The 17,963-nt window shown below is 44.6% G+C and overlaps 1 protein-coding gene and 1 pseudogene across 23 annotated transcripts in view, besides 4 other annotated features; one reads left to right on the forward strand and one right to left on the reverse strand.

Moving 5' to 3' along the window:
* ZNF846 (zinc finger protein 846) overlaps positions 1–17,963 on the reverse strand; it is a 37,542-nt gene that overhangs the window by 10,875 nt on the left and 8,704 nt on the right. For 2 of the 23 annotated variants that reach the window (NM_001395832.1, NM_001077624.3), the window contains exons 1-5: positions 8,796–9,245; positions 5,443–5,542; positions 3,789–3,915; positions 2,589–2,675; positions 367–449 (exon numbers count right to left, since the gene is read on the reverse strand). The exons of 1 other annotated variant lie outside the window; for it this stretch is intronic. In NM_001395832.1, the coding sequence (NP_001382761.1) occupies positions 367–449; positions 2,589–2,675; positions 3,789–3,915; positions 5,443–5,457 (312 nt within the window). In that variant the 5' untranslated portion in view covers positions 5,458–5,542; positions 8,796–9,245. Of the gene's footprint in view, positions 1–366; positions 450–2,588; positions 2,676–3,788; positions 3,969–5,316; positions 5,543–8,795; positions 9,246–17,963 lie in introns of those variants that run through there. 20 more of the 23 variants (NR_172871.1, NM_001353798.2, NM_001395831.1 and 17 more) reach the window with 18 other exon arrangements.
* Positions 9,060–9,229: a silencer, noted in NCBI's record as "silent region_10039". NCBI's record gives its function as "represses an Ori minimal core promoter by ATAC-STARR-seq in GM12878 lymphoblastoid cells {active_cell/tissue: GM12878}" and the evidence as "EXISTENCE:reporter gene assay evidence [ECO:0000049][PMID:35858748]".
* Positions 9,060–10,038: a biological region, named in NCBI's record as "H3K27ac hESC enhancer GRCh37_chr19:9879342-9880207".
* Positions 9,173–10,038: an enhancer, noted in NCBI's record as "H3K27ac hESC enhancer chr19:9879342-9880207 (GRCh37/hg19 assembly coordinates)". NCBI's record gives its function as "activates a minimal SCP1, AML or CMV promoter by ChIP-STARR-seq in primed H9 embryonic stem cells {active_cell/tissue: H9 hESC(primed)}" and the evidence as "EXISTENCE:reporter gene assay evidence [ECO:0000049][PMID:30033119]".
* Positions 9,310–9,529: an enhancer, noted in NCBI's record as "active region_13934". NCBI's record gives its function as "activates an Ori minimal core promoter by ATAC-STARR-seq in GM12878 lymphoblastoid cells {active_cell/tissue: GM12878}" and the evidence as "EXISTENCE:reporter gene assay evidence [ECO:0000049][PMID:35858748]".
* On the forward strand, positions 14,992–15,667 carry UBE2L4 (ubiquitin conjugating enzyme E2 L4 (pseudogene); annotated as a pseudogene).

Genomic DNA, 17,963 nt, shown 5'->3' on the forward strand with positions numbered 1-17,963 from the left:
TCAGGAGGCTGAGGCTGGAGGATCATTTGAGCCCAGGAAACAGAGGTTGCAGTGAGCCAAGACTGCACCATTGCACACCAGCCTGAGCAACAGAGTAAGACCTTGTCTCAAAAATAATAATAAAGTAAAAGAAATTATGCACAAAAAACTGAATAGCTGAGTTGTATGTTTGTGGATGTTTATTTGTGAGATCTCTGAGAAGAAATATGTTTGTAGTAAGTTTAGAGTGCTTCCCATATTCATGATATTCAGAGAATCTCTTCAGACTTTGTTTTCTCTGGGTAAATGCCATTTTCCTCATATAATTTTCATGAATATTGTGCTTCTTGTCCTAGTGTGGAAGATTTCATCCCTTGGAAATCTTACCAATTGTACTCCATTTGGTGATCTTTCTGCAGAAATATCTTGCAGCAGTGGGGAGCCTTTGGTTTTGAGTTGCAAATCCAATTCTGAAATAAAGTGAAAAATGCAGCTTGGGAGAAAAATTGTGGAATAAAGTCGTTTAAAAGCCTATGGGGCTGGGCGTGGTGGCTCACACCTGTAATCCTAGCACTTTTGGAGGCCTAGATAGGTGGCTTACCTGAGGTTAGGAGTTCAAGACCAGCCTGGCCAACATGGTGAAACACTGTCTCTACTAAAAATACAAAAAATTAGCCAGGTGCAGTGGTGCATGCCTGTAATCCCAGCTACTCAGGAGGCTGAGGCAGGAGAATCACTTGAACCCAGAGGGTGGAGGTTGCGGTGAGGTGAGATCCACCACTGCACTCCAGCCTGGGCTACAGAGCAAGACTTCGTCTCAAAAAAAAAAAATGCCTAAGGAACAGACATAGCATAATCAAATGTGGCAGAGTGAAGAACTACAGGGCTCTTTCCTACCACAATATGACTAATAAGTTCAGAAAACCTATCAGAATCAACTGTGCTGGGCTGGGTGTGGTGGTTCATGCCTATAATCCCAGCACTTTGGGAGGTCAAGGTAGGTGGATCACTTGAGTTCAGGAGTTCGAGACCAGCCCGGCCAACATGGTGAAGTGCTGTCTCTACTAAAAATACAAAAATTGGCCAGACATGGTGGTGTACACCTGTAATCCCAGCTACTCAAGTGGCTGAGTCATGAGAATCACTTGAAACCAGGAGGCAGAGGTTGCAGTGAGTCAAGATCATGCCATTGCACTCCAGCCTGGGTGACAGAGTGAGACTCTGTGTCAAAAAAGAAAAAAATATATATATACATATATATATAGCTAAGTGAAAGAAGCTAGAGAGAAAAGGTTACATTGTATGATTCCATTTATATAAGATATACAGAAAGGGTAAATCCGTAGAGAGAGAAAGCAAATTAGTCTCTGTAGGGTGAGTGGGGACTGACTACTTGATGGGTATATGGTTTCCTTTTGGTGTGATGGTAATGCTTTGAAACTAGACCAAGCACACTGGCTCATGCCTGTAATCCCAACACTTTGGGAGACGGAGGCAGGTGGGTCACTTGAGGTCAGGAGTTTGAGACCAGCCTGGCCAACATGGTGAAACTCCATCTCTATCAAAAAACACAAAAATTCACCAGGCATGGTGGCGCACGCCTGTAGTCCCAACTACTCAGAAGGCTGAGGCAGGAGAATCACTTGAAGCCAGGAAGCTGATGGAGGTTGCAGTGAGCCAAGATGGCTCCACTGGACTCTATCCTGGGCAACAGAGAGAGACTCTGTCTCAAACAAACAAACAAACAAAGAAATGCCTTGAAACTAAAAAGAGCTGATAGCTACACAACACTAAAATGGTAAATTTTTGTATATTTTACCTAAAAAAAGTATATGGCACATTTGTATATCTTTCCAAACATGCATAAAACATGATTAAAAAAAAAAAGAGTGAAGCAAATGGAAAGATGGACTATAAAGAGTTTGGCTATGTCAGAAGTTTTGCAATGGTAAAGATATGGTGTCAAAACTATCACTACACCTGTAATGCCAGCACTTTGGGAGGCTGAGGCAGGTGAATCACAAGGTCAGGAGTTCGAGAACAGCCTGGCCAACATAGTGAAATCCCATCTCTACAAAAATACAAAAAATTAGTTGGGCGTGGTGTCAGGTGCCTGTAATCTTAGCTACTTGGGAGGCTGAGGCAGGAGAATTGCTTGAACCCAGGAGGTGGAGGTTGCAGCAAGCCAAGATCATGTCACTGCACACCAGCCAGGGCGACAGTGCAAGACTCCATCTCAAAAAAAAAAAAAACCTGTATTACTTATTATCCAACTAATAATATGCAGAAAACTGAGGCTGGTAGTAAGCAAAAAGATGGGAGAATCAAGAAAGCAATATAAGAAGGTGTTGGCAAAGGACCTACATGCATAAGATGGAATTTTCAAATAAGGCAGACAAACCTTTCTGAGAACAGAAAAGAGGTTGAGAAGATCAATGGAAATTTAAAGATGAGGGGAGTTGAAAGTATCTAAGGAAACCAAATGGCCTCAGCCTTCTCAGGAAGAAGAGTATACCCTGAGAAGTTCGCAAAGTAACATTTCCAATGTACTGCATGTCTCCTAGGGTGGCACAGCAGTGCCATAATACCACATCTGCTTATGAACTCACCCTGCAGAACTCCTGTCACTCCTGTCCTCAGCTCTTCCATTTGTTCCAATCCAGACATGAGACTACGTTTGAATAATTCAGACCCTGCTGGAGGGAAAAATGCACAAAAGAAGAGGCCCATGCAAGACATAACACCATGTCCTTCAATGGGGAACCAATACTTTTGCCTTCGGGGATTCTAAAGATGGTCAAGTGTAACTTTACAAATAGCAAACTAATCATATAACATTTCCAATACATGCACTAAAACTATTTTTAAAATAACAAAAATGTTGCCCAGGTATAATGGCTCATGCCTCATACCTCAGCACTTTGGGAAGCCAAGGCAGGGAGATCACTTGAGGTTAGGAGTTCAAGACCAGCCTGGCCAACGTGGTGAAACTTCCTCTCTACTAAAAATACAAAAATTAGCAGGGCATGCTGGCACAGGTCTGTGGTCCCAGCTACTCAGAAGGTTGAGGCAGAAGAATTGCTTGAGCCTGGAAAACCAAGTCCAACTTCATACACATTTAAAGTCTTAAAGTTTTTAATCCATACATTAAATAAACTCATTTACTTAAATCTTTATTTTCATGGGGAATCCTCTACACCAGGGGTGTCCAATCTTTTGGCTTCCGTGGGCCACACTGGAAGAAGAAGAATGGCCTTGGACCACATATAAAATACACTAACACTAACGATCGCTGATGAGCTACAACAAATAAACAAAAAAACTGGTCTGTGCATAAATCTCATAATGCTTTAAGAAAGTTTACAAGCTTGTTCTATAAAGTAATGCCCAGGCCATGCATGGTGGCTCACGCCTGTAATCCTAGCACTTTGGGAGGCCAAAGCAGGTGGATCACCTGAGGTCAGAGTTTGAGACCAGCCTGGCCAACATGGTGAAACCCTGTCTCCACTAAAAATACAAAAATTAGATGGCCATGGTGGTGCACACCTGTAATCCCAGCTACCTGGGAGGCTGAGGCAGGAGAATCACTTGAATCCAGGAGGGGGGGCTTTGCAGTAAGCAGAGACCATGCCACTGCACTCCAGCCTGGGCAATAGAGCCAGACTGTGTCTCAAAAAAAAAAAAAAAGGAATGTCCACTGGCCAAGGTCCATGCCTGTCTTGCTTATTACAGTACCCTCATTTGACAGCAAACATTTAAGAAACATTGATTTCCTAAAGGGGTCAGTGAAGAAATGATGCCAGTTTTACCTAGTATAATGAGATTCTTGTAGTTCTCCAACATCACATCTCTGTAGAGATCTCTCTGGGCTTGATCCAACAAAGTCCACTCCTCCTGGGTAAAGTCCACAGCCACATCCTCAAAGGTCACTAAGTGCTAAACCATTAAATACATGCCAGCTTCAGCTAAGTACCATCTCCTTTGATGTTCTGAGAAAAATGCATGAAGGACTAAGGAAGACTAGAAGCCTGCAGTACTCCCAGGCCTCAGGCCTCTTCTCCTCTATATAGATATTGTCTTGCAATGGCATCCAATCCCATGGACTTATCAGCATCACTGAAACATGACTAAACTGATCTTCCTACAGCTTTACAATGGGCTCTTCTGGCCTTAGTCCTCCTCTATTTATAGGTGCAGTCTGCACTGAATATGTTGCAGCACTATGTAAAATCTAATAACAAATGAATTATCTCCACAGTGACACACAAATTCCTTCAGATTAGACATCTCCATCCCTTTCTTACAATCTGTCATAACACTCAGCAAAACAATGAGCCAACAAGCATGATTGAGGATCAGAAAGAATTAGTAAACATTGAGATAAAATAATCATTTCTGTAGGGAGACCCACTGAAACTATTGCTACAGAATAAAAGATGAAATGCTCCTGATTACTGTAAATACAAAATTGCATGCAGGATTGTGTAAAGACAATGCCAGGTTGGACTGCCAGAATGAGCCAACAGCGTGTGATGTGCTTCCCCCTGCACAGAGCCTATGAATGGACGTGCAGTCAGGGAGGTTTCACATCACCAAGATTCCTATCCCAGAAAAGCAGATGTTCATAGCTCTGGGAATGGAATGCGACCCTTGTGGAGAGCCTATAAACAGATGCATGGGGGGTGCCTGTCCATATGGATAAACGCCCTCATCTTGTCACGGCTCTTGTAGGCCTCTTTAAAGTTAAGGCATACTCCCTTCTGAGAACTTCTGGTCTAACCAGTTGTCTAGCTTCACATCCTGTTTCCATGGATTGTTTCTAACCAGCATTTGTGGCAATTGTTACTGCTGATTAATATCTTGCTAATCATAGGTTATGGAAAGATTGTGTTTCTGTTTTAAGGCTCTGTTAGAAATTACTGACACACACACTATATTTTAAATTCTTGTCTCTGTATACTGTACTTCTACATACAAATGTACTGTACTTCTACATACAAATGTTATGTTAAAGAATTACTTCATCCCCATGTGACCATCTCACCTCATAATCAAATGACCCTAAATCCCTCACTAACCTACCCCCGCCCTCACTAAGCTTAATAATAACTGCTGGTATATCCAGTGCATTGTTGGCACTGTGGGACCAGAAGGCGGTGACCCCCCTGGACCCAGCCTTCACTATCTTGTGTGTGTCTATTATTTCTCAACCTGCCAATCTGCCTGGGAACAAAGAGAGAGCCCCGTTGCACTGTGGGCTGCTGGCCAGATCCCGCAATACACTTCCATTGCAATCTCTGTACAACCTGAGATGGCTTGGTTCCTAGAGAAATTCACCTGGGGAGTTATTTCCTGAGCAGGACCATCATTTCTTTAAGATGCTTGAATACACGATAACAAGGTAAGGCTACCGATGATGGCTACAAGCATAACATTTTGAAGTTAGGTCTGCTTTCCACTTGCCTGAGAAGAATCCATCAGTAATCCATCAGTAACCCAGCCACTAGCCTTGGCTTCTCGATGTTCCTGTCATGAAGACAGAAAGTGTCCTGGAAAAAATGACCTTTGGAAAAGAATAATGGCATGTCAGTTGGATACATCAAAGAAAAAGTATTTCAGGCTAGGCATGGTGGCTCATGCCTGTAATCCCAGCACTTTGGGAGGCCAAGGTAGGCGAATCACTTGAGGTCAGGAGTTTGAGACCAGCCTGGCCAACAGGGTGAAACCCTGTCTCTACTAAAAATCCAAAAAAACCAGCCAGGTGTGGTGGTGCATGCCTGTAATCCTAGCTACTCGGGAGGCCGAGGTGGGGGAATCACTTGAACCTGGGAGGTGGAGATTGCGGTGAGCCGACACCATGCCACTGCACTCCAGCCTGGCTGACAGAGTGCGACTCCATCTTAAAAAACAAAAAAGTAGGCCAGGCACGGTGGCTGACACCTGTAATCCCAGCACTTTGGGAGGCCGAGGCGGGTGGATCACGAGGTTAGGAGATCGAGACCATCCTGGCTAACACAGTGAAACCCCGTCTCTACTAAAGCTACAAAAAAATTAGCTGGGCATGGCGGCGTGTGCCTGTAGTCCCAGCAGCTGGGGAGGCTGAGGAAACAGAATAGCATGAACCCAGGTGGCAGAGTTTGCAGTGAGCCGAGATTGCACCACTGCACTCCAGCCTGGGTGACAGAGCAAGACTCCATCTCAAAACAAACAAACAAACAAACAAATAAAGCATTTCCATACCCTGCATTGCAGACATAGTCTTTTCCATGGCATGCCTCCCAATTGTAATACTATTCTGACACTTAATACTCTAATTGTCCAGGGGGTGGCTCATGCCTGTAATCCTAACCCTTTGGGAGGTTGAAGTAGAAGGATGCTTGAGGCCAGGAGTTAGAGACCATCCTGGGCAATATAGTGAGACCAAGTCTCTTTATTAAATAAATAAATAAACAAATAAATATACATATATATATATACACATATATGAAAACAAAGAATAAAAGAAAAAATACTCTAGTTGACTTTGCCTAGCAACTATCAGACAGTAAGAATACTTTTGTGTCTGGCTTCTTTCAGTCAGCATTATGCTGGTGAGGTGCACCCAAGTTGTTGTGTTCATCCACCTGTGATTTGGTTCATATCTTTGCTGAAGAATATGCCACAGAGGCTGGGCATGGTGGCTCACGCCTGTAATCCCGGCACTTTGGGAGGCCGAGGTGGGCAGATCGCTTGAGGTCAGCAGTTCAAGATCAGCCTGGTCAACATGGTGAAACCCCATCTCTACTAAAAATACAAAGAAAAATGGGTGGCTCACACCTGTAATCCCAGCTACTCGGGAGGCTAAGGCAAGAGAATCACTTGAACCAGGAAGACAGAAATTACAGTGAGCCAAGATTGCGCCACTGCACTCCAGCCTGGTGACAGAGCAAGACTCTGTCACAAAAAAAAAAAAAAAAAGCCACAGAAATATGCCACAATTCACCCATTCTGTGGATCCACATTTGGGTTGTTCCTAATTTAGGCTATTTCAAATAATGTGATAAATAACTTTTACATTTAGCCTGGCACACGTATGCATGTTGCATCACCAAGTCCATATTTAGTTGTCACTGTTTTAAAATGTAGCTGGGCATGGTGGCTCACGCCTGTAATCCCAGCACTTTGGGAGGCCGAGGTGAGTGGATCACAAGGTCAAGAGATGGAGACCATCCTGGCCAACATGGTGAAACCCATCCTGGCCAACATGGTGAAACCCCATCTCTACTAAAAATACAAAAATTAGCTGGGCATGGTGGCATGCACCTGTAGTTCCAGCTACTCGGGAGGCCAAGGCAGGAGAAGCACTTGAACCCGGGAGGTGGAGGTTGCAGTGAGCCGAGATCATGCCACTGCACTCCAGCCTGGCAACAGAGCAAGACTCTGTCTCAAAAAAAAAAAAAAAAAAGTGTTCTCTTCAGCAATGCATGCACATCTTAAAGAAGACTTGATATTGTCACTGACTTTAGTTATGCTTTTATTTATTTATTTTTTTTTTTGTAGAGATGGGGTCTCACTATGTTGTCCCAGCTTGTCTCAAACTCATAGCTTCAGTGGCTCCTCCTGCTTCTGCTTCCCAAAGTGCTGGGATTACAGGGGTGAGCCACTGTGCCCGGCCTAGTTTTATTTATTTATTTATTTATTTAGACGGTGTTTTGCTCTTGTTGCCCAGGCTGTAGTGCATTGCCACGATCTCAGCTCACCACAACCTCTGCCTCCCGGGTTCAAGCGATTCTCCTGCCTCAGCCTCCCGAGTAGCTAAGATTACAGGCATGCCCCACCACACCTGGCTAATTTTGTATTTTTAGTAGAGACAGGGTTTCTCCATGTTGGTCGGGCTGGTCTGGAACTCCCAACCTCAGGTGAACCGCCCACCTCGGCCTCCCAAAGTGCCAGGATTACAGGTGTTTAAGTTACCGCACCCGGCCAATACACATTGATCTACACAAGAGATGCAAAGAAACAGAAAACATGCAAAATATTAACAAATGATCAGTCTACAACAAGGATATATAATAGGTGTTCAATATTCTGGCCTTTCACATTTTCTTTGGTTTAGAATATTCAATCTACAGATAGCCTGGGCAACAAACCAAGACCCTGTCTTTAAAACGTAAATAAATAAATAAAAATATATGAGGGGGAAGGCCAGGCGCGGTGGCTTATACCTGTAATTCCAGCACTTTGGGAGTCCGAGGAGGGTGGATCACGAGGTCAGGAGTTCGAGACCAGCCCAACCAACATGGTGAAACCCCGTCTCTACTAAAAATGCAAAATTAGCCGGGCGTGGTGGCACATGCCTGTAATCCCAGTTACTCAGCATGCTGAGGCAGGAGAATCGCTTGGACCGGGAGACAGAGTTTACAGTGAGCCTATATCACGCCATTGCACTCCAGCCTGGGCAATAAGAGCGAAACTCCGTCTCAAAATATGTATATATACGAGAGGAAAAACGCTGAATCAAAACATGTCTCTTTCACAGTTAATACAACTGTAATTTCTGATACTGGTATAATGAAGGCGGCATCCTACTTCCTGGAAGCCCCTCCGTTTTGAAGCTCTTTGGGAGGTACTGACCTAGGAAGTTCAGCTGCTTTTGATCTCAAAAACACAGCGGAGTATTGCTACTTTGCTTTATAACTGTGGCAATATTTGCTTTTATTTCTATAAACCTACAACTCCTGCACACTTGACAAAGCATTTAACTGCTGAGCAATTTCGCAAACTTCAATAAGCGATGCCCTCCCACAGCCAGATCATCTCCTCCGTCCAGGGCTCACCGGAACGCACTGCAATCGCCCTGTCGGTGACAAGAGGACGCTGGGGCCCTTTTCCACAACAGCTGAGATGCTTTTCCTTCTGGAGAAAGGACACAAAGGTTGACTGGCTGCTTTTAAACAGAGGGGCACGGTGGTTGGAGAAAAAAACACGTCTCCACCGGGGACCCTGGGCCAGGCCCAGACTGATGCGGGCGCAGCGGGAAGAGGCGCTCAGAAGAGAAGGCGGGAACCCCCCGCCTCGGGGTCCTGGCGGGGAGGAGGCGCCGCTTCTCCGGAGCAGCAGCGGGAGGCCGGCGCGTCTCAGACCTAGCAGAAGTCCGGAGCGTCACCCTCCGACCCTCGCTCCGCCTCCCGCTAGGCCCTCCTGCCCCGCCCTGCCTAGGTTGAGCATGAGCGCTGGCTGAGGTGAAAACCCAGCTAGGAAGCTGCTGGAGAGCGGGGAATACGTATAGCTGCGCGCCGGCTGGCACTTCCGCTTCCGGTTGCGCACGGCATTAAGTGTAGGGGCCGAGCCCCAAGAGCTTTGGAATGAGGATGATGTGAAGCTGAGAGAAGAGCTGGGGCCACCTCTTCGACACGCGTACAGAAAAGTCCCGTTTTCTCGCATCCCAGGTGGACCAGGATCCAGATCAATCTGTCGATATTGGGAACGACGCCGGACCAGGAAACCCAGCGCCAAGGGCCGGGTTGGAGGCGGGGACTGGCGCAGCGGGCGGGGCACGCGTGGAGGCGTCACCTAAGGCTTCGATTGCAGACAGCGGGATGCTCATCGAGTGCTTTTCTTTTCTTTTTTAATTTCTCTTTTTAGTTTTTTGAGATAAGGCTCCGGTCTGTCGCCTAGGCTGGAGTGCAGTGGCTCGGTCATAGATCATTGCAGCCTGGAATTCCTGCGCTGAAGCTATCCTCCCGCCTCGGCCTCCGGAGTAGCTTGGACCACAGTTGGGCCCATCACGCCCAGCTAAGTTATCTTTTTCTAGACACTTGGGTCTCACTGTGTTCCCTAGGCTGGTCTCGAACTCCTGAGCCTAAAGGATCCTCCCCCCTCGGCCTCCCAAGCAGCTTGGACCACAGGTGTGTGCCACCACGCCTGGCTAATTTATTTTTATTTTATTTTTATTTTTTTGTAGAGACAGGGTCTCTCTTTGTTACCCAGGCTGATCTGGAACTCCTGGGCTCCAGTGATCCTTCCACCTTGGCCTCCCAAAGTGCTGGGATTATAGGCGTGAGCCACCACCCTAGGGAAATTCTTTTCTGCAGGATTTTCTCCTTGTTTCTTCAACCCTCTGCAGGGATATAAACATATTTACAAAGATAATCCCGCTGTAGTCCTAGCTACTGCGGGAGAATCGCTTGAGCCCAGGAGTTCGAGACCAGCGACACCCTGTTTGAAAGATTAACCTGATGGGGCTGGGGGCAGTGGCTCACGCCTGTAATCCCAGCACTTTGGGAAGCCGAGGCGGGTGGAACACGTGAGTTCAGGAGTTCGAGACCAGCCTGGCCAACATGCCGAAACCCCATCTCTACTAAAAATATTTTTTAAAAAATAGCCGGGTGTGGTGGTGGGCGCCTGTAATCCCAGCTACTCGAGAGGCTGAGGCAGGAGAATTGCTTGAACCTAGGAGACTGAGGTTGCAGTGAGCTGATACGATGCCACAGTACTCCAGCCTGGGCGACAGAGTGAGACTCCGTCTCAAAAAAAAAAAAAAAAAGATTAACCTGTTAATCCATAAAATGCTCTGTGCCTCTGATACATTCAGTTCCTTCTTTAGGCCTTTAGTTTTGTTGTGATACAATTATCATAGCATACAATTAACCTGTTTAAAGTGTACAGTTTCGTGGCTTTTTGTATATTCATATATTTGTGCATCGATCATCACAATCAATTTTAGAACATTTTCATGACCACAAAAATAAACCCAGTACCCTAGCCATGATCACCCAATCTGCTCATCCAGCCCCACCCCCACCCCCAGAGTCCAAAGCAACAGCTAATCTTTCTGTCTGTATAGATTGCCTACTGTAGATATTGCCTGTAGAATTAGAATATAAAACACGTGGTGTTTGGCTTGTTTCATTCAATGTTTTCAAGGTTCATCCAATTAGCATGTATCAGTACTTAATTTTTTTTTACTAAATAAGATTCCATTGTATGGCTGTATCATAACATCAGTTGTTGGATATTGGGTTTTCTCTTTTTTTTTTTTTTTTGGCTTTTTTGGATAATACAAGACGCATTTTAAGCAGTGGTCAAAGGAACATTCATATTCCTAAACACTTTTGTCAATAAAAATAAGAATAGCTGGGTGCAGTGGCTCACACCTGTAATCCCAGCATTTTGGGAGGCCGAGGCAGGCGGATCACCTGAGGACAGGAGTTTAAGACCAGCCTGGCCAACATGGTGAAACACGGTCTCTACTAAAAAATACAAAAACCAGCAGGGCGTGGTGGTGCGCACCTGTAATCCCAGCTTCTCGGGAGGCTGAGGCAGGAGAATCACTTGAACCTGGGAGGCGGAGGTTGCAGTGAGCTGAGATGGCGCCACGGCACTTCAGCCTGGGCAACTGAGCACAACTGTCTCAAAAAAATAAAAAATAAAAAATAAATCCCCAGCTCAAAAAATAAAACCTAGAAAAAGAATATAAATGTAAACCAAAATGGAAAAAGGTTTATTTATTTATTTATTTTTTATTTCAATAGCCTTTGGGAAACAGGTGGTTTTGGGTTACATGGATAAGTTCTTTAGTGGTGATTTCTGGGATTTTGGTGCACCCATCATCCGAGCAGTGTACAATGTACCCAATGTGTAGTTTTTTATCCACTTTTATCCCTCACCCTTCTCCCACCCTTCCCCCAGAGTCCCCAAAGTGCATTCTTTCTTTCTATCCTTTTTTGTTTTGTTTTGTTTTTTCTTTTTGAGATGGAGTCTCATTCTGTTGCCCAGGCTGGAGTGTAGTGACATGATCTTGGCAACCTCCGCCTCCCAGGTTCAAGCAGTTCTCTTGCCTCAGCCTCCTGAGTAAGTGAGATTACAGACATGCGCCACCATGCTTGGCTAATTTTTGTATTTTTAGTAGAGATGGGGTTTTCCCACGTTGGCCAGGCTGGTCTTGAACTGCTGGCCTCAAGTGATCCACCCACTTCGGCCTCCCAAAGTGCTGGGATAACAGGCGTGAGCCACTGCGCCCACCCAAAGTTCATTATATCATTCTTATGCCTTTGCATCCTCATAGCTTAGTTCCCACTTATAAGTGAGAACATATATATGGTTTTCCATTCCTGAGTTACTTCACTTAGAATAATAGTCTCTATCCAGGTTGCTCAGAATGCTATGACTTTCTTGCTTTTTATAGCTGAGTGGTATTCTGTGGTGTATATATACCACATTTTTGTTATCCCCTTATTAGTTGATGGGCATTGAGACTGGTTCCATATTTTTACAGTTGCAAATTGTGGGCTGTAAACATGTGTGTGCAAGTGTCCTTTTTTTTTTTCTTTTTTGAGATGGAGTCTCCACTCTGCTGCCAGGCTGGAGTGCAGTGGCCTATCTTGGCTCACTGCAACCTCCGCCTCCTGGGTTCAAATGATTCTCCTGCCTCAGCCTCCCAAGTAGCTGAGACTACAGGTGCACACCACCATGCCCAGCTAATTTTTGTATTTTTAGTAGAGACGAGGTTTCACCGTGTTGGTCAGGATGGTCTCGGTCTCTTGACCTCGTGATCCACCCACCTCAGCCTCCCAAACTGCTGGGAATACAGGTGTGAGCCACCATGCCCAGCCTGTTTCAGACATTTTTAAGACTATGTCCCATTCATTTAAAATACTATTTTTCCCCATTGAATTGTTTTGACACCTTTGTCAACCATCATTAGACTGTAAATGTGAGCTTAGATGTTTTAAATGGAGAATTATACCAAACCTTCCAAGTTCAAATATTCCCAGTGCTCCATAACTTAAGAACAATGAAAATGAAGAAATACTTCCTAATTCCTTTTATGAAGAAAGTATAACATTGATATAAAATGTGGTAGAGGCTGGGCATGGAGGCTCACACCTGTAATCCCAGCACTTTGGGAGGCCGAGGTGAGTGGGTCACCTGAGGTCAGGAGTTTGATACTGGCCTGGCAAACATGATGAAACCCTGTCTCTACTAAAAATACAAAAATCAGCCAGGTGTGGTGGCACGCACCTGTAATCACAGCTACTTAGGAGGCTGAGGCAGGAGAATCGCTTGAACCCAGGAGGCAGAGGTTGCAGTGAGCTGAGATCATACCGTTGCACTCCAGTGGTGACAGAGCAAGACTCCGTCTCAGAAAAAAAAAAAAAGTGGTAGAGTACAAAAAATGAAAAATTGCAGAACCATATCAATTATGAATATGGATTCAAATATGCTGTTAGCTATTAGCAAATAAAATACAAGACCACATTAAGAAAATAACTATCCCCACATGAAATTTAGCATAAAACAGCAGTATTAGTGCAGTTATTAGAAAATCCATTAAATAGTCCAGGTGCAGTGCCTTATGCCTGTAATATCAGCACTTTGGGAGGCTGAGGTGGAGGTTGCATTGCCCAAGCTCATGAGTTCCAGACCAGCCTGGGCAACATGTTGAAACCCCATCTCTACAAAAAAGACAAAAATTAGTCGTGTGTGATCTCAGCTACTCAGGATGAAGTGGGAGGATTGCTTGAACCCAGGAAGTGGAGGCTGCAGTGAACTAAAACCGACCATGCCCCTGCACTCTAGCCTGGGTGATAGAGCCAGACCTTGTCTAAAGAAAAGAAAAGAAAAAAAATCCATTAAATAATGCACCATAAAAATACATCTACAAGAACAAGTCATGTGACTTTCTCCATAGATGCTGATGAAGCCTTTGGAAAAAATTCAACACTCATTTATTATTATTGTTATTATTATTGTTGTTTGAGATAGGGTCTTCCTATGTTGTGCAGGCTGGATCAAACTCCTGGGCTCAAGGGATCCTCCTTCCTCAGCCTCCTGAGTAGCTGGGGCTATAGGCGTGCAACACCACACCCAGTGCAATGTCCCTTATTGATATCAGCACTCCAGAAAAATAGAAATTAGTGAATACTTTCTTAAGATGATTGCCTGTACCTATAGCTGAGTGTGTGTGTGTGTCTGTGTGTGTGTGTACTGGAAGCATTAGCTAATACAATTCAGTAAGAAAAATTAATTTTGAAACATAGAATTGCAGCTGGGCACGGTGGCTCACACCTGTAATCCCAGCAATTTGGGAGGCCAAGGTGGGAGGATCACCTGAGGTCAGGAGCTTGAGACCAGCCTGGCCAACATGGTGAAATCCCGTCTCTATTAAAAATACAAAAATTAGCCAGACATGGTGGCATGCTCCTGTAATCCCAACTACTCAGGAGGCTGAGGCAGGAGAATCACTTGAACCCGGTAGGTGGAGGTTGCAGTGAGCCGAGATTGCACCACTGCACTTCAGCCTGGGCGACAGAGCGAAACTCCATCTCAAAAAAAGAAAAAGAAAAAGAAAAAGTAAATAAGCATAGAATTGCAAAAGAAGGAAACTATCTCTTTTTGCAGATGATGTGATATTATATATGGAAAGCCCTAGAGAATAAAATAATAAGTTAACAGAATGTGAAATTGCTATCTAAAAACCAATGGCATTCATCTACCAGTCAAAAGCCAGTAAGGTGATGTAATAAAACTTATGTAGAATAACATAAAGATACTTAGGTTTAGACTTATCAAAAAATGTGTAAAACATACATGAAGAAGCTTTAAAACAAACATTCTTGAAAGACACAAAATAGACTTGAACAAATGGAAAATTCCTTGTTCTTCTATAAGATGACTTAACATCATATAGATAGCAATTCTTAACAGGTTAACTCAAAAATATAACAATCCCAGGCCGGGCGCAGTGTCTTATGCCTGTAATCCCAGCACTTTGGGAGGCTGAGGCAGGAGGATCAGGAGGTCAGGAGATAGAGACCACCCTGGCTAACACGATGAAACCCAGTCTCTACTAAAAATACAAAAAATTAGCCAGGCGTGGTGGCAGGTGCCTGTAGTCCCAGCTACTCGGGAGGCTGAGGCAGGAGAATGGCGTGAACCCGGGAGGTGGAGCTTGCAGTGAACTGAGATTGCGCCACTGCACTCCAGCCTGGGCAACAGAGCAAGACTCCGTCTCAAAAAAAAAAAAAAAATACCAAATCCAAGATGGCGGCCAGCAGGAGGCTGATTAAGAGCTTGAGGAAATCTGCAAATGTGGGATGAAAAACTTCCCGTAACATCCAGGTTGATGAAGCTAATTTATTGACTTAGCAAGGGCTTATTGTTCCTGACAACTCTCCATATGATTAGGTGACCTTCAGAATCGAAATCAACTTTCCAGCAGAGTATCCATTCAAACTACCAAAGATCACATTTAAAACAAAGATCTATCACCCAAATATCGACGAAAAGGGGCAGGTCTGTCTGTCAGTAATTAGTGCTGAAAACTGGAAGCCAGCAACCAAAACCGACCAAGTAATCCAGTCCCTCATAGCACTGGTGAATGACCCCCAGCCCGAGCACCCGCTTCGGGCTGACCTAGCTGAAGAATACTCTAAGGACCGTAAAAAATTCTGTAAGAATGCTGAAGAGTTTACAAAGAAATATGGGGAAAGTGACCTGTGGACTAAAATCTGCCACGATTGGTTCCAGCAAGTGTAAGCAGAGGCCCCATGCAGTGCATTCAGACACCCGGCAAAGCAGGACTCTGTGGAAATTGACACGTGCCACCGCCTGACATTCACTTGTGGCAGTTACTAACTTTCTACAGTTTTCTTAGTGAAAAATGGTGTAGGTAATCTGTAAAGAAAGGATTAAAATCTAAGATGTTTTAAATATATATACATATATATGTGTATATATATGTGTGTGTGTGTGTGTGTGTATATATATATAACAATCCCAATAAAAAACCAAACTTTTTAATGGAGTTTTGTAAATTAATTTTAAAGTTCACATGGGAGCACAAACGTCTGATAATACCCAAGAAAACTCTGAAAAACAAAAGTGACAATGCCCTACAGATATTAAGACATACTATAAAGCCTCTACAATTAAAACTGTGGATAGGAACAGGAACAGGAAACAGACAAATGGGATAAAATGGAATATCTAGAAATAGATCCAGGAACATATGGGAATTCAGTTCAGAAAGGTGGTATTTCAGATCAATTGGGGCAAAAATGCAGTTTGCAATGAAAGGTGCTAAGATTAAGTGGTTAGCCATCTGGAAAAAGACAAAATTACATGGATAACTCACACCATTCACAAAATAAACTCCAAATGAATCAGGGAACTAAATGTGAAAAACAAAAATATATGCATATGTAGGGTATTTGAATGATTTTTGGGTGATTAACGTAAAATATGTGACCACAAGGCAGCAGTAGCTCACTTGGGCAGTGCTTTGATGGGTTTGTGTGTGGGGTCCCTTGTGGGCAGCAAGCCACCCAGGTGCTGAAGCAAGAGACCGAGGACACGAGCTGTTCCAGTATAATAAAACATAAAACAAGAATAGTTGTACCAGATATAGATCATAGACATGATTATATATGAATATCATTAATCATTAGTTTGTGGCAATTACTCTTTATTCCAATATTATAATAATCCTTGCTCTATAATCATAACCTAGGAAAAATCAGGCTATACAGAGATAGGAGCTGAGGGGACATAGTGAGGAGTGACCAGAAGACAAGAGTGCAAGCCTTCTGTTATGCCCAGACAGGGCCACCAGAAGGGCTCCTTGGTCTAGCGGTAATGCCAGCGTCTGGGAAGACGTCCATTGCCAGGTGGACCATGGTCTAGCGGTAGCGAAAACTGTCAAGGAACAACACCCGCTACTTAGCAGACTGAGAAAGGGAGTCTCCTTTTCCCCGGGGGGGTTTATAGAAGACTCTGCTCCTCCACCTCTTGTGGAGGGCCTGACATCAGCCAGGCTTGCCCACTGTTATCTGGAGGCCCAACCGTCTCCCTGTGATGCTGTGCTTCAGTGGTCACACTCCTAGTCCGCCTTCATGTTCCATCCTGTACACCTGGCTCTGCCTTCTAGATAGCAGTAGTAAATTAGTGAAAGTACTAAAAGTCTCTGATATGCAGAAATAATGGCATAAGCTGTCTTTCTCTCTGTCTCCTCTCCCTCTCTGCCTCAACTGCCAGGCAGGGAAGGGCCCCCTGTCCAGTGGACACGTGACCCACGTGACCTTACCTATCATTGGAGATGACTCACACTCTTTACCCTGCCCCTTTTGCTTTGTATCCAGTAAATAACAGCGCAGCCAGACATTTGGGGCCACTACCGGTCTCCGTGCATTGGGGGTAGCGGTCCCCCAGGCCCAGCTGTCTTTTCTTCTATCTCTTAGTCTTGTGTCTTTATTTCTACACTCTCTTGTCGCCACACACAGGGAGAAGCCCACCGACCCTGTGGGGCTGGTCCCTGCAGTCCCTCATAGCATGAGAATATCCAAAGGCTACAGACTTGGAGGTCACTACTCAGAATGGGAGGAGAGCAAGAGAACTCCAGGGAAAGAATGGGAGTTGAGAGGGAGCTTATGTGCTAGGTGAAGTTGCTTAGCAGCCTAGTGGGAAGTTTCTAAATCAGAAAGCTCTGAAGAGCAGCAAGGGATTGGGGTCCTTTTTATAGCTGGAGGGTTTATCTTCTCTGTGGTCATCAAATGGTTGGCACAATTTCACCGGGGTATGCAGAGCAGGCAGGCCCTAAAGGACTAAAAAATCTGCTTGTTTGGACTATGTTTAAAACAATTGATTCAGGATCATTAAAAAAAAGAAGAAGAAGAACGAAAGAAAACACACACACACGCACACACACACACACACACACACACACAATTGGATGGCCAAGCATGGTGGCTTGCACCTGTAATCCCAGCTACTTGGGAGGTCAAGGCAGGAGGATTGCTTGAACCCAGGAGTTTCAGGCTGCAATAAGCTGTGATCCTGCCACTGCACTCCAGCCTGGGCAACAAATCAAGACCCTATCTTTAAACAAACAAACCAAAAGAAAATTAAAAACAATTGGGTGTGGAAAAACTTGAGTTTGGAGCCGGGTGCGGTGGCTCATGCCTGTAATCCCAGCACTTTTGGAGGTCGAGGTGGGCAGATCACGA

The sequence above is a fragment of the Homo sapiens genome, chromosome 19 (assembly GCF_000001405.40).
Source record: "Homo sapiens chromosome 19, GRCh38.p14 Primary Assembly".
NCBI lineage: Eukaryota > Metazoa > Chordata > Mammalia > Primates > Hominidae > Homo > Homo sapiens.